This window comes from Homo sapiens, chromosome 16 (assembly GCF_000001405.40).
Source record: "Homo sapiens chromosome 16, GRCh38.p14 Primary Assembly".
In the NCBI taxonomy this organism is placed as follows: Eukaryota; Metazoa; Chordata; class Mammalia; order Primates; family Hominidae; genus Homo; species Homo sapiens.
In genome coordinates this window covers 76,405,759-76,429,150 of record NC_000016.10, presented here as the reverse complement: position 1 = coordinate 76,429,150, position 23,392 = coordinate 76,405,759, and the positions used below count along the sequence as shown (strand labels likewise).

The window sequence follows — 23,392 nt, the reverse complement described above, 5'->3', positions numbered from 1 at the left end:
ACATGGTGTAGCTAAGCTGGATTGTTGAAGCCACGAAAGCCTGCAATTAAGGCGGACAGATAGTGAGAGGTTAGTTGGCCACTGACTCATCTCTGTTATTCAACAACTAGAGGAAATGTCAATATAAGCTTGCTTTCTGGAGTTTGGCAAACTTGGCTGCAAACCCAGCTCTGCCACTTCCTTTCTGTGTGGCTTGAGCAAGTCAACCTCTCTAAGCTTTAGCTTTCTCATTTTCAAAAGAGGTAAATGGAGTAGTTACCCAGTAATATTTATCGGGGCTATTTTGAGGAATCGTAAACTGCTTGGAATAGTGCATATAATAAGCACTAAGGAAACGGTGCTATTTCTACAGTTATAGAAAGGAATGCTATTAATATTACTATTAGTGTTACTGCTATTATTGCTATTAATATTATATTAATACTTTTATTAGTATTATTCTGTAGGCCCTGGAGGAATCAGGTCTGTCAAATATGTTTGATGGTAGAGATGGACACTGAAAACATCACAAAATACAGGAGAGTACCCACGCAAACCATGCAATGTGATCTCTCTGTCGGATAGAGTTTAGACAACTTCAACAAGTCACTTGATCTCTTTATCACCTGCTTTTCTTTTATGTAAAGAAAGTGAATCAGAACTTAACTTGGCTTACATCACAAAGTGACAGCGTATGTATGAAAAAAGCTTTAGTAGCTAAAAATAAATGTTTACTAGAGAAAAAAAAAAAACGATGTCGTGAATTGAGCAGTCCTGGGTTCTCTTCCAGATTATTTCATATGTGAGGCTCTGAGCAAATTAGTGAATCTCTTCAAACCTCACACTGTTAGTCTGCTAATTGTAAATCATATTAACTAACCCACTGTTCTATAATAAAAGTGTATCTAACAGGATAATGTGGCTTGAGGTGCACTATCAATAACTCTTAGGTCCCTTCCTCACAAAAAATATATATAATAAAATGCTTCATTAAGAGGAGACTAAGTGAAATCTGTGGTTTCTATCTTTTTTATGTGAAAGTATTTTAAACACATGTTATATTCAGGCAGAAGTCTTCTCTTTTTCTATTAATTTATACTGACAGCATAGCACATTTAAAGGTGAATTGCATGATATTGTTTTTAGGCTAAAGAAAAAATATTTTTTGGTTTCATAACATGACGGTTAAACTAAATGGAACACTGTCCCTTTTATTAGACTCAGGATACCTAAATGAAATATCATCAAATATAACTCATGAAGGAAACTTCTAATATTTGAAAGTTACAACATAGTCAATAATATTCTATTTGAAGAAATACATTCCCATGTATCAGTAAATATGTATCTATCCATCTATCAAGTGCTTCCATCTCTGAATTAAAATGTTAAAGTTGAACATGAAAGTCAATATTGGCATGTACAGGCATGCACAAAAAAGCTTTCCACAAAAATTATTCCTATTTTTTATACCTCTTTATGTAGCTAAAAAGTCCATTTCAGTTTGTAGTTTGGCTTTTAAAACATCTCTTTTGATATCTATGTCAGTGTATTGGATAAACAAACACTTACTGTATGCACATCCGAACACTTCGATTCGCATTCCAATTCTGCCCTTGGGGTTCCATTCCAAAGGGATGAAGCGCAGAAATCTGGCTTTGATAGAAGGCTGGAGTCTATAGTACACAACACTGTCTGCATTTGCATTTCCTGAAAAACCCTAAAAGAAAAGGGAAAGAAGCACATCAATGTATCTGGAGAACATCCATTTCAGCTTGTCACCTATAATGTCTATTAGCAATGTGTGATCTGCATTTTACTATGAATGGTGCTACCTTCTATAAGAAAATCACATTAACAGTTATGTCATGATGTCTCTGCATCCAGAGAAATTACTGTCGCTTCAACTTTTCTTTTTTCTTAAGAGAGTTTAAATTCTACCACCCCATTAAACTAGTTTTCAACCACGATACCTGTAACAAAAATTGCTTCTGTAAAGTGTAGATTAAACGTAAAAATGTGCCATGTCTGTAGCACTTAACATTGTGAATAGCACCAAAAAAATTGAGAAAATATTCTCCAAGGGTTGAAAAACAATCATTCGAGTCAACAAAGAAGTTGCTTACATCATTGATGAATGAATTAAGCTATGATGTCTTTTGGTTCTTTCACTTTCTCATCTTACTCATTAACATAAAGAAAAGTACCACGCAACATTCAAGTTGGAGCTACACTCAGCTAACAGGTTGTTAAACCTCAGCAGCACAATGCCAGATACACACATTCAAATTGTGAAGGGAAATTGGAAGCAATAATAATTTGGAAAGACCTGTAATTAAACTTACGGACTTTAGAATTTGAAAGCTAGAGAAATCTTGGGAATTGATGCTAAGCTAGCACAGTCAAATTGCAGACAAGGAAATTAGAGGTCAGAAAGGAAAGAAAAAAAAATCCCTCCAGTGTTTGCAACCATTGCAACCATTACATGGTAGGGCCAGGAGCTATGTTTCTTCCATAAAATCAGGATGCATCGACATAATAGGTAGCTTACCTGTAAAACCCACATACTGCAGCCCCCAACATTTATGCAACTTTTGTTTTCTTCCACACAGCACACTGTTAAGACTACAGGTGGAGAAGTCAGCATGAAGCAGAAGTTGTTCTCAATAATTTACATTTCATTTTTATTTCTCACCTTCCTTGTCATGGTCCTCCTTCTCCTCTCCTCCACCTCTTTCTTTCATAATAAGGGGACATGCAACTACATTTGCAGGTTCATGATAAGTCCCTTGCCTATGACTGGGTCAACAAATAAGATCAACCTCATGTAGACTGCACAAGGCAAAGATAAATACATTAGAAACACCAATACCCAGGGTATCTGATCATCTGCCTGTTTTTCTTTCTAATTCACAAATATTCCCTTACTATCATTTACCAAAACATTTTCTAGTACATTTTTAAAAGATTGGGTGTTTTATAGTTAAATTAATTTGATTCTCCTTGTCAATCAATCCCCTACCTTCTGCCCCCACTCCACCAGTACCCCATACACTAAATGTTCAAGCTCACATAACACAGGCACAGCTGTGATGGCATCTCCAAATTATATCCAAAATCGGGGCATCTCTTTATTTCAATATGACCACTCAGTTCAACAAAGCATCACCTCACCAGAACTTCCCTGACAGCCTCTTCCTGGTCTTTATTATTATTTTGTTCTTTGCCATCACCCCCAATGTCTTCCCCTCTGAGCACACAGTAACACTTGTAGAGGTAAATTAAACTATGCCATCCCCAACACTTTCTTTGCCACTTAGAACAAAATCTAAACTCCTTATTCAAACACAGTCTTTAGCAACCACTTCCATTATGCTCTATCCACACTGGACCTCCTTGAACAAGCCAGGTTCAGTTCTCTCAGGGATTCGCACCAGCAGTCCATTCTGCTCTGAAAGTTCTTTCCCCAGATCTTTGCATGCCCTGCCTCTCTTGTCCTTTTAAGCTTTGACTAAAATATTACCCCCAAGACAGGCCCTTTTTGATCACAGTCTCTAAAGTACCTGTGTACCTGACACTCCCCATAAATATCTTGCTATTTTCTCTGTATTTCTCTTTATTTTAAGAGGGATTTCTCTTATTTGATCATTATCTGCCTGTTTATCTTATCCTCCTAGAAAACAAACTCTACTAAAGCAGGGAGGTTTATTGTGTTCCATCCGTAACACCTAGAACATTGTTCAGCTCAAAGTGGTTCTCAATAAAATATATGTTGAATGTGTATGTTTGAGAAAGACTGAGCTTAAAAACAAAACAAAAGTTCAACGGATGTCTCAATTACAGGGCCTCTCAGAGCATGTCATGTGCTAATGTGCAAATTGCAATGTATCAACCCATGGCAGGGACACTTACCTAGCGCATCTCAAACATATAAGGCCAGAAAACTGCTCCCCTCTGTTTTTGCTATTGTTGCTGCTGTTGTTTTGCAGAACAAATTTCCAGACTAGTGTTTCCCAGAACATAAATAGGAGAACATTGTTTAATTCCATGGATATTTGGACTCTGATAACCAGACCCCTGAGAAGGTTCCATTCTGTTCCACTGGTCAAAATTTTTTACTGAGGTTTGGTAAGAAAGGTTAGCTGTTTTCTATATTGCACTAACCAAATCTTATTCCCACCCAACCTCTAGAGCACTACAGTCTCAATTTCTATGGCAATCCCGATGATTCACCTAAAAAATCGATTATTTCAATTTCTTTTAGGATGGCTGATATAGGGCAATGTTTCCCGAACTTAGACTGCACATTAAAACTCTCAGCGCTCATAGCCTGAGCATTGATTTTGTTCTCTCTTTCTCTTTGGGTGTGTGTATGTGTAAGCTTACGTCTTTTTGTTTTTGTTTTTGTTTTTTTAGACCGAGTCTCACTCTGTCACCCAGGCTGGAGTGCAGTGGCACAATCTCAGCTCACCGCAACCTCCACCTCCCGGGCTCAAGCAATTCTCCTGCCTCAGCCTCCCAAGTAGCTGGGATTACGGGCCCCAGACACCATGGCTGGCTAATTTTTTTTCTGCATTTTTACTAGAGATGGGATTTTACCATGTTGGCCAGGCTGGTCTCAAACTCCTGACCTCAAATGATCTGCCCGCCTCGGCCTCTCAAGGTGTTAGGATTACAGGCGTGAACCACCGCACCCAGCCTGTATGCTTATGTCTTTACAAGCTTTCCAAATTAGAGTAATGTGCAGCTTTGGTTGAGGATCTTAGATCTTCTTATACTTTTGATTCTATTTCCTAGGTGCCACTGGCAGACTAACACAATCCCTAATTATAATTTCTTGCAGAGTGAACAGCTGGATGATTAATTAAATTACCCTCCAAAAGATCTCACATTTGTTTCAAAATTAATGTGAGTTCAATGATTTTGGGGTCTTAAGGGACTGGGAGAAAAGATGCACAGTGGCAGAGACAGCCAACAGGTAAATGGAATAAGACATCTGCAAATGACAGCCTTTCACTTTTCACTTGATCAATTTATGAGCTATTTAAATTTTGAAAACGTTAAGAATAAATATAAGATACAGTTTATATTAATAATAAAAATATCATTGTCATATTCAAAACTTTTAGCAATTATCTCTTATGGAGGGTAAGGAAAATTGTGAGGTTGGGGATATGGGACTTACAGCACATTCCAGTCAAATCTAGATTTTTTAATGGGCATGTATTAATTTTATAATAATAAAATAATGGAGACACACATAGGAAGAGTGTATAGCCATACAGCAGGCAAAAGCATTACTTAGTAGCACTCTGGATACTTTAAATAACTTTCTAATGCCAGTGTCACTTGGAAAAATATGCAGTTACTATTTATTATATTTATTAACTGATCAATAAATTTGCAATTTTTGCTCCACTTGTTGAAATTTTTTCATACATAACCAAGATTCTGCTTTGGATTTTAATATTTGATGGAAATTTTCAGAATGTTTGTGAATGATGCATATGATGCTATATTACTTTATAAATGAAAAGTTCAGTGCATGCTATTGAGTTTCAAATGTATTCCTTTGCCTAGGAAACTTTCCTCAATTTGCTATGAAGAATTGTTGCCATAACAATTCACAAAGGAATGCATGGATTTAAGTATCTCTTTATCTTTTTTCAAAAATAATAATTTTATTACAGGGACATTTATGTCTTCCTTTAAAGATTCAGAACTTTAGTATATGTCAGCATTACTTGAGGTGTTTCTTTAGAAACGAATCTTGCACCTGTGTACTAAATTTGTGGGGAGGGTCCTGAAATTTGCATTTTGAATGCATGCCAAGCTAATTTTGTGCTTTGGATCTTTGTTTCACTCTTAAAGTACTCCTCTGGTTTGTGTATAAATCCTATTCTTTTATGTTCCCTATATTATCTCACAACTTTTCAGAGAGAAAAAATATTTTAGAAGGTCTCACTTCAAAAGTCATAAACTGAGTATCTTATAAACAACAAAAATTTATTTTTCACAGTTCTGGAGGCTGGAAAGTCCAAAATGAAGGCACCAGCAGATTCGGTGTCTGGTGAAGGCCTACTTCATGTTTCATAGAATGCCACTTTCTAGCTGTAGTCTCACATCGTGGAACGGTGAATGAGCTCCTTTGGGTCTCTTTTATAAGGAAACTAATTACATTTCCATAACAGGACTCTTGACCTAATCAACTCCCAAAAGGCCCCACCTAATACCATCTTGTTGAGGGTTAAGATTTCAATATATGAAGTTTGGGGAGACACAAATATTTGGACCATAACAACTAGTGATTGCGTTCTATGTTACCAATTTAAATGTTTTCAACATGAAAGTTAGGGGCTCAGCATCAGACATAGCAGAAATGTATTAGCTAGCTTTAATATTTGCATCAACTCTGTGAAGTAGTTATTTTTGTACCCACTTTACAACTGAGGAAAATGAAAATTATAGAGGTTATGTGCCTAAAGTCACACAGCTAGAAAGTGGCAGAGCAAGGATTTAATTCCAGGCTTTTCTGACTCCAAAGCCCATAATTTAGCTAAGCCATCAAAAGGCATCACTTCAACAGAACATGAAAGCAAACAACTTACCCTAGAGGAAATTTAATATTTTATCTGAAGCTTTTTTCATTTTTCCTCATAATTTATGTTTAAAACCTTTTACACATTTTAGAATAATGCAACTTAGGTTATTGTTGAACTGGGACTCAGCTCCACCAGCTGACTTTTATAGACAAAGAACTTTTCTATTAAACTTTATATCTTCCCAAAATTATTGGAGTCAAAAATAAATGATAAACATTGAATAATCAATAAGACTCTTGCATATAAATAGTAACCTCCTAATAGACACAGAATATATGTTATATCATTAAGTACATAAAATATCTAGAAGTAAAATGAACTTTATATGTCTTACATGATAAAAACCAAAAAGCCTTCATTGTATTTTTCTTTTCTTTTAGACTTGGTGATTTCCAAACTCAATGAGGTGTTCATAGACAATTTAGGAATGTATTTTAACCAAGAAAATTTATGGAGTTAATGAATTAAAGTTTCTCACAGGATTTTGAGTATTTCCAAAGTGATTCTAAAGTTTATGAAGAGGCATAATAGCACTAATTTCTTTTTCAAATATTAATTGAGCAACTCACGTATAAAAGCCAAGAAGTATAAAGGGAGATGCCCATATGGCAATTTGTAAGAAGCTCTAAAACGTCACTGTTATAAATCAGAAACATGGGACCCGTTACACATAGTTGCACAGCAGACTCTGCAATTATATAGAAATCAGTCCAGCTCCATCCAAATAAAGAGCAGCACCAGTAGAAGTTCAACAAAGAAACAGGGAAACATGAAAATCCCCTTGTCATTAATAACCTCCCTTGTTGTGAGAATTCTTGTGACCTACATGTGTCCTACACATGACCTATTTTCAAGTACAATTCATTTTGACATAGTCAGCTGACATTCAGATGCTAAATAAATCATAGCAACATGCTGTCAAATAGAAATCACTTTTTAATTTTATGATGTCAGGTATAAATCTTTACTAAATGTGCCTCCCAAAAGGTTATCTAGTCTAGAAAAGTATATAATAAAAGCAAACAGAAATAAGAACTACTGAAAAGTGGAAAATTTGCTAACATAAACCCAGATGAGAGTAACTTTTAAACATATGTTGAACAAGACATCAGGACTGTATCTTACAAAGTTGATTCAGTCTTGATTATGAATGTAAAATTCATTTATTATAATAAAGAAATAGCAATGAGAATCCACTAATCAAATTAGAATGTTAAGTTTTGAGCTGCACGTATAATACATCTCAATTTGCAAAATTAAAGGGAATGGAATTTTATTTAACAAACTCTACCACCTTCCAAAAATACTGAATATTATTAAAATATTTATTTGAAGGAACACAATTATTAATGATAACTTGATGAGACCCCTTGTGCAAATCATTATATTAGAATCTATGGAGATACAAGTTATAAAATATACTGTTTAGTACCTTTTGCATAAAAGGGTTTGAATTCCCAAGACAGATCAAATAGCCAGAAGAGAAAAAGCACAGGAAAGATGCAAACTTGGCTGTAATCTGTAACTATTGTTGAAACACAGCAATAAATTGTTTTATGAGAGATATGTGGACAAGTCATAAAGCTTACATTTATATTAGGATATGATATGTACGATTTTGTGGAAGACTAAATTTTTATTGAGATGGACAATAACTATAAAAATTCACATTATGGTACTGCTAGACTGGAAATTCTGAACCCTCCTTTTGGAATAAAAAAAAAGTTGAAGAGATAAAAATATAATAAAATATTAAATGTCCAAGATCTAGAAGAAGAAAACCCAAAGAGGTGAGCCCAGCATTTGAGGCTTTCTCTTTAGGGATAACTAAAGGATTTCTGAAGAGGAGAAACAATAGCTGGGTAGTTTCGTTGTTGTTGTTGTTGTTGTTTTTGGTCATGGTTTTATGAGCAGCTTTCATGGGGTTAGGGACAAAATTTTAGTTCTAGAGCCCTCAAAGAAGAGAATATTTTACAGGCTTCCATAGGCTTTTTGTAAGAATTTAGAGGATCTACTTTTTAGGATAAAGGGAAAGCCAGAGATGGGACAGCCCCGCACGGAGATTAAAGGTAAACTTCCCATCTTTCCAATCTGTGGGGAATTATAGTGAGGATGTCAGAGAGGTTCAGTGCTTCTGGTTGCCTGTAAAAGTGAATGAAATTACACTTTGCAGAAAGATAGCCTTCTAGGCCTAAAATTGTCTATTCATTTTTTTCTTATGTAGTGTCCTACGTACAATAAAAAATAATAAAATAGCAGCAAAAACTGTTCTTAAAGGGAAATTAATATTTATCTCCTATAGAATATACATTATTCTAATATATATTCTACAGAATATACATTATTCTAATATATATTCTACAGAATATACATATTATTCTGTTAGAATATATTAGAATATTTATACACACACACACAGTACCCATCTCAGAGTGAAACACTGCTCTACACTGCACCACAAGAAAAAAGACAAACAAACTAGAAATCAATCACTTTTCTTAGACTCATCAGAGAACTGTGCTTTCATGGTGCTATAGAATAAATTGCACCCTCTCAAAATTCTATGTTGAAGCCCTAACCCACAATGTGACTGTATTTGGAAATGAGGTCTTTGGGAGGTATTCAAATTTTGATAAGGTCATGAGGTGGGGCCTTCATGAGGAAATTAGTGCCCTTATAAGAATACGAAGAGAGCTCAGACTTCTTTTTCTTCACCAGGTGCAGACACAGCAGAGAGATAGCCATCTGCAAACCACAAATAGGACCCTAACCAAGAAGTGAATTGGGTAGCACCTTGTTCTCGGACTTTTCAACCTCAAGAACTATAAGTAATAAATGTCTGTTGTTTAAGTCACCCAGTCTATGGTATTGGTTATAGCAGCACAAGCTAGTACACATGACACACCACCATGCTGAAATCTAGAGGGACGGGACCATCCAAAGAGTCAGAGCTGAGATCCATCCACCTGGAACAAAAGCCACTGGCACCAGAAACTGACAGGAAAACTTCTATGATAATTTTGGTGAATCTCTGGAAACTGAGTGTAGACTAGCATGAGAGTGAGAAGTTCCTGACCACAGTCTTAGAGGGCTCCACATTTCTGTGGGCTTTACCTCCAAGAACCCATCCATGCATTCTATGAAGATTAGAAAAAGACTCCCTTCTGGCTCTGTCAGGAAGTGGGAAAGGGAATGACTGTGAAGTATGCTCAGGGTTTTCTTCATAACAAAGGGCTATTCTCCTGAAGAAAAGACTTTGCCAGAACCTCTCCCAACTGGGGGGCAGTACTTCTCCCATTCCAGCCTCCGTACCTTTCCTGTCTTACCTAAGGAAAAAAAAGCAACAGGAGTCAGAGCGTCACAGAAATAGATTGGAAACCTAGTAGCCAGGAAAGACAGTAGCTGGCAGGAGGGAAAAAAGCTATACCACCAGAGATATGCTTGTGAAGGTCACAGTTCTGAGACAACAACCCACTGAAACACTTAAATTGAGTTGGAATATTACAGAACATTGCTCCTCTTACACATCGAACCACCACACAACAGGAGTCCAGTGCAATAATACTGGATAACAGTTGAAAGACTTAAAAAACAAAGACCGCCTCTGAAGAGAATTTAAGTCAAAAGGAGGAATAGAAATAAGTGCATTAGATGAACCGGAAGCATCTGGTACCTATAGTACCTATAGCAAACCTAAACTGTAACCCATTTCTTAGCCAGAGTAATGTAAATCTTCATACTAACAACCTATTTGTCTTAGTTTCTATTGTCATCAGATATAGCGCATTTTGGTTTCAACAAAATATTACAAGGAATGGCAAAAAGTAAGAAAAAAAAAAACCCCACACTCTGCAGAGACAAAACAATTATCAGAACAAGACTCAAATATGCCACAGATGTTGAAAATCAGACAAGGGCTTAAAACAACTATGATTGATATGCTAAGGGGTCTAATGGAAAAAGCTCAAAACATGCAAAAACAGATGGGTAATGTAATCGAGAGATGAAAACTCTGCAAAAGAATCAAAGAGAAATGCTACAAATTAAAAATGCTGGAACAGAAGTGAAGAATGCCTTTGATGGGCCCAACAACAGATTCAATACAACCAACAAAAGATCAGAAGATTGTGCACATGTACCCTAGAACTTAAAGTATAATAAAAATATATATATATAAAAGAAAAGAAGATACAAATTTCTCAAGCTGTAATAGACAAAGAAAAAAAAAGCTGTAATAGAAAAAGAAAAAGAAAAAAACCTGTAATAGAAAAAGAAAAAAGAAAAGCATAAGATAGTATCAAGAATTGTGGGCAATTATAAACGTTGTAACATATGCGTAAGTGGAATACCAGAAGGAAAAGATAATAGATCAAAGAAATACTTGAAGTAATAATGGCCAATAACTTTTCAATATTAATGACAGACACTGAACTGTAGATCCAGGAAACTCAGAGAATAAACATGAAGATTAAAAACCAAAATAAAAACTATTCTGAGTCATATCAGATGCAAATTACAGTAAACCAAAGACAAAAACAAAATTTTGGAAGAAGCAGAGGGCATCGAAAGGTAGCTATATTACTGATAGAGAAAGAAAGATAAAACTTACATTGGACTTTTCATCAGAAAACAAGCAAGCAAGCAAAGAGAGGAGTAAAATATGTAAAGCATTGAAAGAAGTAAAAATAAAACTACAACTCTATATCCAGAGAAATTATCCTTCCAAAGTGAAGGAGAAATAAAGACTCTCAGGCAAACAAAAACTGAGGGAATGCATCGAGAGCATTCCTTCCCTATAAGAAATGTTTGAAGAAGTTATTCAGACAAAAGGAAAGTTATATAGCTCAGAAATCTGGATCTACATTGAGAAAGGAAGATCATTAAAGAAGAAATAAAAGAAGTAAGATCATTTATTTTTCTTATTCTTAGTTAATGAAATCATTAGTTAAAAGACAAACATTTACAATAATAATCATGCATTGGGTGCTTATAGCACATGGATAAATTAAATGAATTTAATTTTTATTGCAAATTAATATTACATTCACCTAAATTACAAATGAATGTTGTCAGGTACGTAAGGGAGAAGTTAGGAATACTCTGTTTTAAGGGACCTGCACTATATAATAAGTAGAATAGTATTATTAATATTTGAAAATAGACTTTGGTTTAGTTTAAGGCAGCCACTGACAATTTTTAAAGTATGACTGATACAGTAAAAGAGCAGATAAAATAGAATCATAAAAAAATTTTCAATTAAAATCAGATAAGGAACTTAAAATGGGGCAAAAAATTAAAAACAACTGCAACAAATAGAAAACAGTTAAAAGCATGATACATATTAATTCAAATATATCAATAATCACTTGAAAAGTGAGCAATCTAAATATACCAATTAAAGAGATTGTCAGAGTATATAGAAAGAGTAGGCCCAGCTATGTTGTCTACAAGAAATCCACATTAAATATAGACTAACGTACATTAAAAGTAAATGGATGAAGAAAGATATATCACACGTTAACACTAATAAAAAATAAAAGCCGAAGGAGCTACATTAATTTCAGACAAAGAAACCTGAAGAACAAGGAAGATTACTTGGGATAGCAAGAAACATTTCCTAAAGACAAAGTGATCAATTTTCCAAGATGGTAAAATAATCCTAACTGTGTAGACAACTAACAACAGAGTCGTTAGATGAGGCAAATACTGATAGAATGGCAAGTTAAAAACAGAGAAGTCCATTATTATAGTTGGAATAATTGATGTATCAAGGAAGCAGGAAAGCAGTAAGAATATAGAAGACCTGAACATCACTATTATTCAACTAGATTTAATTAACATTTTGAGAACATTTCACCCAACAACAGCAGACACACTCATCTTAAGCTCACATGGAACATTCACCATGTATTATCGGTCATAAAACACACTCTTGCAAATTTATAAAAATAGAAATCATACAATGTATGCTCTCAGGTCATAAAGGAATTAAACTATAAATTAATAACAGAAAAATAACTAGAAAGTTCCTAAACATCTGAAAAAAATTCAAGTTAAAAATAGAAGTTTCATGTGAAATTATCTAGAATGTTTAAATCTGTATGAAAATGAAAATATAACATCAAAATACGCAGGATAGAGCAAAAGCAGTGTTCGAGGAAAATTTGTAGCATTAAATGCATATATTAGAAAACAAACAAAGATCTAAATAAATAATGCAAGTTTTCATCCTAGGTTATTAGAGAATTTAGAATTGAAGCCTAAAGAATGCAGAAGGAAAGAAATTTTAAAAATTAGAGCACAAAGAATAAAATTGGAAACAGGAAAACATTCGAGAAAATCAACAAACTAAAAGGTGGTTCTTTCAAAAGTTTGCTAAGATTGATAAACCTCTAGTTTGCTATCTATGGGGGAAAAAAGGGAAAGAAAAGACCCAAATTATCAATATCACAAATGAAAGCAAAGTCACCAATATTGAGCCCATGGATATCAGAAGAAGAAAGGCAGAAGATAAATGAGTTAAGGATAGAAGTTAAGACATTAGGGGGAAAAATAAAGCAAATTAAAGCCAAAAATTAAGAAATATTTTAGAAAAGAATGAATAATTGACAAAAATAAGACAGAGTTAAAAAAAAAAAACAAACAGTATATCTATACAATGGGAAATTACTCAATAAAAGACATAAACTGATGATGTACTCAACAACATAAAACAATTAAAAAAATATTTTGTAGAATGAAAAATGCCAGATATAAAAGTGAACACAAGATGATTTCATTTATATAAAATTCTAGAATAGTAAAAATACTCTACAGTGACAGAAAGCTGATTATTTCCAGGGTCAGGGTGTGATGAGCATTGTCTACAAAGGAGCATGAAGGAACTGTTGGGTGATGGATACATTCTGATTCCTCTTTGTGGGGTTAAACAGGTGTTTACATTTATCAGAACTCATCAATTTCTGCACTTTATTTGGGTGCATTTTATGGCAACTAAATACTTTCTCAATAAAAATGATTTCAAAGGTAATAAATAGTATTGTACTATAAAACATGTATTAATTCAACGTATTATTAGACTTTGAATTCTAATTCAAATAATAAATTCTAAAAAGATATTTTTACACTACAAGCAGAAGTCAAATAGCCTATGATTATTTTATGATATTGCAGAACTTATAAATTATGTTAGATATGCTCATTTTAAGTTCTATTTAAAAACAAACTCCTTATTGATTATAAATATATTTTGTAGAATCTTTGAAGAAGGTCATGCAATATTAAATATGTTTTAAAATAATCTAAGCAGGGAAGTAGTAAGAAGATGTATAAATGAGGAAACAGTGGTCATATGTATCAAATAGCATTCAGTATAATTCTATATTTCATCTGTGTGTGTTTAGAAAACATACTTCATAAATACATTTGTGTTATAAATCTGAAAGAATATACACAAAATTTGGAGGAATTGTGTTTATCCCGAATTTTGGAAATTCAGACTATTGTAATTATTTTTCATTTTGACTTCTGTATATTCTTCTTTCTACAAGAGGTATTATTCCTCATGATTAAAATACATATGAAAAATTACCAAAATTAGGGAAAAAAAACACAAGTTGGTTTTTGAAAAGAACGTTTAAGTTAACAAAACCCTAGTTAGGATTGATCTGGGAAAGAAAAAAATAGGAGACATGAATAAACAATATCAGTAATGCAAAAGAGCATCTTACGATGATCCTATACACATTAGAGTGATAATGATATTTCGAATTATGCCACTAATTTTACAAATTTAAATGAAATAAATTCCAAACCAATCGCCACTTACCAAAACAGATGAGAACAGGAAAACCTGAACTGCCCACATCTGTTAGATTACATGCATAATTGTAAACATATTCACACAGAAAATTGCAGGCCTCGATGTCTTTCCTAGTGAATTCTTCTAAACATTTAAGGACAAAATCACACCAGTATTAAACAAGTACCTTCAAAGAGCAGAAAAACAGAGAATGCTTCCCAGCTTGTTTTGTGAGGCCAGCATAACCCTGATATTAAAATCTGACAAGGAACTTGCAAGAAGGAAAATAAAAGTCGATCTTACCCATGAATGCCAATCCAAAACTCCTTAAAAATAGTTTAAAAATGATTCTACAATATAAAAATATAGAAAAAATAATAAATCATATCTCAATCGAGTTAATTCCAGGAATGCAAGAATTGCTTAATATTTAAAAGTCATTCAATGTAATTTATCACATTAAGTAACATATGGTTTTCTCACCAAATACAGAAAAAGCATTTCATAAAATGTAATATTCACACAGGATTAAAATTCTTAGCCCAGCAGGCAATGTCTAACTCTGCAAAGAGTATCTGTAAAAATCATACAGCAAGTATCATACATTATAGGAAATGCTGAGAGCTGCTTTGTGTTTGAGAATGTGACAAGTATGTTCTGTATAGACCCTTTCATTAAATATGTAATGAACTTCTAGTTAGTGTAATAAGGCAAGAAAAATATTTAACAGGTAGTAGGATTGGAAAGGAAGAAATAAAACTGCCTTTATTTATAGGTGTATGAGTGCAAATGTAGGAAATTTGAAAAATCTATAGAATTAGTTTAGCAAGTCTGTTAGATAAAAGTCTATATATAAAAATGAATTAAACATTTATACAAAAGCAACAGAAAGTGAAATTTTTGAATGACATTTACATTAGTATCAAACTATATTATTTAACTGTAAAAAACTAATAAAATATATTTAATGCCTTTACATGAAAATTATAAAATATTGAGAAAAATTTTAAAGGTTTATAGTAGAAAATACATATTGAAAAGATGTCAATACTCCTAAATTAATATATAGATTCTACCAAATTCAAACCAATGTTTGTGTGTGTGCACAAATTACAAGATAGTTACAAGTTTTATGTGGAAATGTAACAAAATGGAAATCACCAAGATACTCCTCAAGAAAAACAAAGTTGGAGGGTTTTTTTTTTACTGGATATTAAGTCTTATAATGTTATAGAAAATAAGAGAATGTCTTATTGGCAGGTTCTTCAAACAGATCACTGGAACAGATCAGAGAATCCAGAAACAGATTCAGCATGTATGGAGAGTGGATTATTAACAATGTTTGCCATGCAGAGCAGTGGGGAGAAAAATAATTCTTTTAAATACATGGTGCTGTATAAATTGGATATCCACATTGGAAAACAATTTAAAAAGAAAAATCTAAAAATCAAAAAAGTTGAGTTCATGGACATAGAGAGTAGACAGATGGTTACTAGAGGCTGAGAAGTGTAGTGGGGGGCTTGCAGGGAGGTGGGGATGGTTAACGGGTACAAACAAACAGAAAGAATGACTAAGACCTATTATTTGATAGCACAACAGGGTGACTATAGTCAATAATAACTGTACATTTTAAAGTAACTTAAAAAGTATACTCGGATTGTTTGTAACTCAAAGGATAAACACTTGAGGGAATGGATAACCCCATCCATGATGTGCTTAGTTCACACTGCATGCATGTATCAAAACATTTCACATACCCATAAAAAATTAAAAAGAAAGAAATTTTTAAAGAAGGATTGATCACTACCTCAAACCGTATGCAGAAGTGAATTCCAGGAAGACTGTAGACATAAATGTGAAAGGCAAAACAGTAATGTTATAGGAAGATAACATAGCTGAATATTTTCACGATTTTAAGGAGTTCAACGATTTTCTTAACCATGAAAGGAAACTGATGTCAGAATACATTAAGAACTTTGTTCATTTAAAAATGTTATAATAGAAAGAAACCACAGAATGGTAGAACCTATTTTTCAGTATATTAGTATCCAGAATACATAGTGAACTACAAAGCAATGAGAGAAAAAAAGAGAAAAAAGTATTTAAATGCCTAACAAATCTACGAAATATTTGCTAATCTTATTAGACATTGGACAATGCCAATTAGAACCAAAGTGTGAGAGTTATGCACACCAACTAGAATGGCTAAAAATGAGGGTAACAATAAACATCTAAAACAAAAGAAAATTAATACCAAGTGTTTTCAAGAATGTGGAACAAATGGAATTTTAATACACTGCTGTTGAGAATATAAATTGGTATAATTTCCATTAAAATTAGTTTGCATTTTCTACTAAAATTAAATATATACATTTTTTATGAGTTGGCAATTCCACTCTGAAGAATGATGTACCCAGCGCAAAATCAGGCAGTTTTCCAGCTAGCAAAAGACATGTATGTACGTGAATATTTTTGAAGCATTATTCATAATTGACCCAAAGTATAATTCATATGTCCAATTATAGAATGGATTTTTAAATACTGCTATATTTTTAAATTATATTTTTAATTGTATTGTTTATACTTTTACTTATTTTCATTACTGTAGGACATTTCATTATATAAAAATAAATCAGTTATACCTATGTAGACACAACATGGGTGTTTTTCATAAGCATGATGTTAACCCAAGGAGCCAGATATTTAAAAGTTCATATAGTATGATTCCTTCTGTATATAATTCAAAATAAGCAAAACTAATCTATGGCAATAGAATTCATGGTCATGATTATTTGGTGGGAAGAGGGAGGTAAGAGTCAACAGTAAGGGCATGAAAGTTACAATAATATGTTTGGCCTACGTAACATTTACATAGCATTTTCACTTTTTGATAGTCCAATGAGTTGTATATACATTTATGCTTTTTGTCTTTTTCTGAATGTGTATTGTCTTTCATTATAAAAAGTTACATGAAAATAAGCATGCTAACTATGAAAAAGAAATAGGTCCTTGGCACTTTAAAAAATAGTTCAGCAAAGACAATCAAGATTTAAATTTTGCATGTATTTATCCAAAAGCAAAAATAGAAGATTTTTTTAAGAATACCTCATTAAAATTCTATTTTTCACTTTTGTGCTTTTTTATAGATCATTAAGAACACTATGAGAAATACCTTTCAACTTCATATTTTAGATATCACATAATTTATCATGCATTATACCATAAAGAGCTCAATTAGCATCTCTCATTTTACCATTAATATTACTAAGAATAATGGCATTCTTATGACCATTACCATCAAAATCACTATTGTTCAGTGCTGAAAGAAAACTACTGAATTCCCCACTACAGACATTATAAAATTTAAAGTAAATTATTCCTCATTTACCTGTATATTCTATTGTTTTTATACAGTCATTCTAATATATTGATTAGCCTTCAGTCTACTTCAAAATGTCATTTATTTATTAAATTGCTAATTGTTTTCCCAAATGGAAACTTAAATATGTGCTTTAGAAAGAGACTCGCAATCAACCAACATTTCTAAGCAGATTAAAATAAATATCCAGTTTATTATATTTAATTTGAAAAATTAGAATGTTTAAAAAGTTTGGATAGAGTTGAATCAGCCCTTACTGTTTCATAGAGTTCAGAACTGATGACCCTCATCACGGCCTCTGAAGCCATATATTATTTAATGTATATTAATAATGATACTAGTGTATGTATGGATGTACATTAATGTATACTTCATATTATAATGTATATTGTGATGTACATTAGACACTATATGTCTTATTTACCTGAGTACCACTGTATCTTTATGTAGATCTTAACCTATACTTTCATAGAAGCTAGACACTGGGAGAAACTCGGTAACCTCTGAGACATGCCCAATTGTAATATTAAGATTTAGTGAATACAAAAATTAATTATCTCTACAGTATTATTTTTTAAGTTGCCACCAACTTTAAATTTTACCAAATGTTTTTAGGACACACAGAGAAATGTATGATGGTGTGTTATTTTGGGTTTTCTGACCTTCAGATTCTGTACAATTTAGTCACATAATTAAAGTTTCATTATAGAGAAAGTCAAAAGAGAGAGTATTTTATTTAGTAATAATGTAATCAGGGCTTAACCTATTCTTCACAAAGACAAACTCATCTGTCATTTGGGAGCAGAGGGTGAATAAATGCATGCAGCGGACACTGTTTTAGACTGGTGTAAACTGCTTATTTCAATCAATAATAACACCTGCCCACTTGCATTACCTTTTGAAACACTGCCAGATGTAACAAAACTACAAAACCAACCAGTAAATGGCTCACATACCCATGGGTATCTTGATATAGATAAATGAAACAAGAACAGAGAAAGCTTGAAGGCTTTAATACATGTTCTCCATTTTTAATGCTAGGATGTCTGAAATTTGGGAAATATTTCTTCTACTCAACACAGATGACAAAATCTCATTTATTTCATGTTCACAAAAAATCTTCTCAATCTTTGTAGACAACATTTTTTTCAAACATCAACAATCATTATTCCAGCAACAAGTGAAATATTAATACTCCCTTCAAGCCCTTTCCATAAAGAGAAATTAAGTATGCTCATCCAAACTTTTGTACTGGAGACCTTAGTATGACCTGGAAAAAAAATAATAAGACAATCCTGGCTCTTAAAAGATGGGGATCCATCACTTAACAGCTGGAAAATCTTGAATCAGATTCCTAAACCTCAGTTTCTTTATCTATAAATTGGAGATAAGAATACTTACTTCCAAAGTCTGATATCCAAATTAAGTAAGATGAAGAGATTAACATCTGCCTCCTTCATAACAAGCCTCAATAACATGCAGTTGTGATTGTTGTGTTGTATAGTGATTAAGTCTTCACAGATGGCACAGTGTTACAGACAGTTTATTAATCTCTGAATCTCATTACTTGAGTTTAACATCCAAGTCACCCCACTAGAGAGTAAAAGGAGAAATAGCAACGCCTCTCTATATGCTTTGATCAAAGTGACAATTCCATTTGGGAAATAAAGCCAAATAATTATTTAAACATAGTAGACAATATTTTTAACCTCAAGACAAAAGATACCAATAGAATACTTCCTAGGAAAGTTACTTCAACAAAAATAGTTTTAATTTCTTTACTGTAGAGTTTTATTTTCTTTTTAACTAGTTTGCCTTTGCATATAATTTTTGGAAATTATACTTCAGCCAGTGTAATTATAGTACCATGCAGCAACCAGAAGTTCCTAAATATCCATATTGTTTCTATTTCAACGCAGTTTAGATTGGTTGATCAACATTTTCAAATTATTTTAAAGGTGCATACATAACTTTTATAGATATTTGTATGCATCCTCTGAAGTCACTTTATAAAACATATTGCATGTTATTTTAATGATGCTGTATACGTACTTTAAACTCTGCTTATTTTAATTTTAAGAAACTACATTATTCATAATATATAGAATAACCATAAGTGTTTCTGTAAGGAACCAGATAAAACGCCTTGCTGCTCCCTAAAGATTAAAAAAATTAAAATAAATGTATCTGAGGGGGAATTCTTTAGTATTCTGATGACACAGTATTAGGGCTTATTTTACACTTAAATGATATTTATCTTAATGCCACATGTAGTGTAAAGCCTATTGTGCCATACATTCAAATTTTCCTTTGAATTCTTCCAGGACAGTCACAAAATCTTAGGCCACAAATGTATAGTAATGAAAAAAAGAATAACAGACATAATGACTCATTGTGGCTTTGTTCCCGCAGGTTTGAAAACCATGGCTCTGTAAGAATAGGAATAAGCATCTTCTCTGAATATATGTACCTTCAGCAATTCCTCAGGGACTCAAATCTTGATTGAGTGGCAGATAGTGGATGAGGTAAAACTACACAGAGAACATGTTCAGAGAATGGACTCTGAAATCAATAGTCCTTACTAAGAAATTCTCTTTTGTATCATATTGAGGTCTTTGGAAAGTTGTTGTTAAAAAAATAGTAATAATAAAATGCTGTTTTCCAGTTAACTATTGAAAATTTGAAAAACAACTGATTATTTGATGGTGCAAATAAATTATTGTTCACTTCTTTAGATTCTATTTTAAGAAAATAGAATCTTAAATTTCAGGAATTTGCACACAAATATTTAAGGATATAAAGCTAGGAAGTTTTAAATTTGCTTCAAAATAATACAGATCATGGGCAACGTATGAAAGAGTTGCACGGGGGAGAAAAGGCCATGGGGTTGATGCTTGGGACCTCGGAATGGGTACAAGAGGGTTGGTTTTGCTACTCTGTTTACTTGTGTGTATCTAGTGAATGTGGGTGGTGGTTGTTAATTGTTAATAGATTAACAACTGTTAATTGTTAATAGATTAACAACTGTTAATTGTTAAGCAATAGCTTAATTAAATTAGTTCTATGTAAGAAGCTTAGTAATTTACAAGCTAATATATTCCTTTATAACATTTCTTTACTTATCATAGGTACAGACACTTCAGAGGTACTGTGGATTCGGTTCCAGACTACCACAATAAAGTGAATATTTTGCAATAAATTTCATCACATCAAGTTTTTTGTTTCCTAGTGCATATAAATAGTATCTTTATATTTTAGTAAGTGTATAATAGCTATATGCCTTAAAAATGTATATGCCTTAATTTTAAAATACTTGATTGCTAAAAAAAATACTAATCATAATCTCAGTCTTCAGTAAATTTTAATCTTTTTCCTGGTAGAGGTTCTTGCCTCGATATTGATCGCTGCTGACTGATCAGGGTGGTGGTTGCTGAAGGTTGGGGTGACTGTGGAGTGAATTTTTAAAAAAACAATGAAGTTTGCCACATTAATTCTTCCTTTCATGAAAGACTTCTCTGTAGCATGTGATGCCATTTGATATTTCACCCATAGCCAAACTTGAAAATTAAAGTCAATCCTCTCAAACCCTGCCACTGCTTTATCAACTAAGTTCATGTAATATTCTAAATCCTTTGTTGTCATTTCAACTATGTTCATAGCATCTTCACCAGGAGTAGATTCCATCTCAAGAAACCACTTTCTTCTCTCATTCATAAGAAGCAACTCCTCATCCATTAATGTTTTATTATAAGATTGCAGCAATTCAGTCACATCTTTAGGCTCCAATTCTAATTCTAGTTCTCTTGCTATTTTCACCACATCCGCAGTTCCTTCCTCCACTGAAGTCTTGAACCCCTCAAAGTCATCCCTAAGGGTTGGAATCAGCTTCTTCCAAATGCCCATTAATGCTGATATTTTTACCTTCTCTCATGAGTTACAAATGTTCTTAATAGCATCTAGGATGGTGACTGCTTTCCAGAAGGTTTTAAATTTACTTTGCCCAGATTAATTGGAGGAATCAGTATCAATAAGAGCTATAGCCTTACAAAATGTATTTCTTCAAAAACAAGGGCTAGACACAGTGGCTCTTGCCTGTAATCCCAGCACTTTGGGAGGCCAAGGCAGGCAGACTATTTGAGCCCGGTAGGCTTCAATAGTGGGTTTCAAATATTCAGTAAACCATGTTGCAAACAGATGTGCTGTCATCTGCCTGTGCTTTACAGAGAAGAATTTAGCATAATTCTTACGTGTCCTAGGATTTTCAGAATGGTAAATGAGCACTGTCTTCAGCTTAAAGTCACCAACTGCATTAGTCTCTGACAAGAGAGTCAGCCTGTCCTTTGAAGTCACACATTGACTTCTCCTCTCTAGCTATGAAAGTTCTAGATGGCATCTTCCAATAGAAGGCTGTTTCATCTATGCTGAAAATCTGTTGTTTAGTGTAGCCACCTTTACCTATGATCTTAGCTACATCTTCTGGATAACTTACTGCAGCTTCATCCTAAGGATTTGCTGCTTCACCTTGTACTTCTATGTTATGGAGACAGCCTCTTTTCTTGAACCTCATGAACCAACCTCTGCTAGCTTCCAGCTTTCTGCTACAGCTTCCTCACCTCTCTCAGCCTTCATAGAATTGAAAAGAACTTAGGGCCTTGATCAGGCTTTGGCTTAAGGGAATGTAGTGGCTGATTTGATCTTCTATCCAGACCACTAAAACTGTCTTCGTATCAGCAATAGGGTTATTTCACTTTCTTATCATTCATGTGTTCACTGAAGTAGCACTTTTTATTCTCTTCACAAACTTTTTCTTTGCATTCACAACTTGGCTAAATGTTTGCTGCAAGAAGCCTAGCTTTCTGCTTATCTTGGTGGACAATGTCTTCCTAAGTGCAGTCATTTCTAGTTTTTGACTTAAAATGAAAGACACATGACTCTTCCTTTCACTTGAATACTTAGAGGCCATTGTAAGGTTATTAATTGGTCTAATTTCAATATTGTTGTCTCTCAGGAAATAGGGAGGTCCAAGGAGAGAGAGAGAGATGCGGGAACAGCCAGTTGGTGGAGGAGTCAGAACACACACATTTATCCATTAAGTTTGCTGCTGAATATGAACATGGTTTGTGGCGTGATATTACAATAGTAACATCAAACATCACTGATTGCAGATCACCGTAACATATAATAATAATTTAAAAGCTTGAAATATTGCAAGAATTACCAAAATGTGACACAGAGACACAAAGTGAGCACATGCTGTTGTAAAATAGCACTAACAGTAACTAGGACTACAGGCGTAAGCCACCACACCCGCCTAATTTTTTTTTCTTTGTATTTTTTGTACAGACATAGTTTCACCATGTTGCTCAGGATGGTCTCAAACTCCTGAGCTCAAGCGATCTGCCTGCTTCTGCCTCCCAAAGTGGTGGATTATAGGTGTGAGCCACTGCACCTGGCCCAACTTAATGGCTTCTAATGCAGCACAAAAACGTATTTCATTTAGTAATTGAGATTGATTATGTTTCATAAAATTATCAGTTTCTATAAGTCATATTCTTTAGCTATGTAAAAAAAAAAGGAGACAATTTACATGCTATGCATATGTTTCCAAAATACAGTTGACCCCTGAACCTC

General features: G+C 33.5%; 1 protein-coding gene across 16 annotated transcripts in view; it reads right to left on the bottom strand.

The window, feature by feature from the left end:
• Positions 1-23,392, bottom strand: part of CNTNAP4 (contactin associated protein family member 4) — a 283,357-nt gene that overhangs the window by 131,607 nt on the left and 128,358 nt on the right. For all 16 annotated transcript variants that reach the window (NR_136216.2, NR_136210.2, NR_136213.2 and 13 more), the window contains one exon: positions 1,552-1,699. Coding sequence is in view for 11 of the 16 variants with exons in the window: in NM_001322189.2 (NP_001309118.1) it covers positions 1,552-1,699 (148 nt within the window). In the remaining 5 variants the exon portion in view is untranslated. The remainder of the gene's footprint in view (positions 1-1,551; positions 1,700-23,392) is intronic.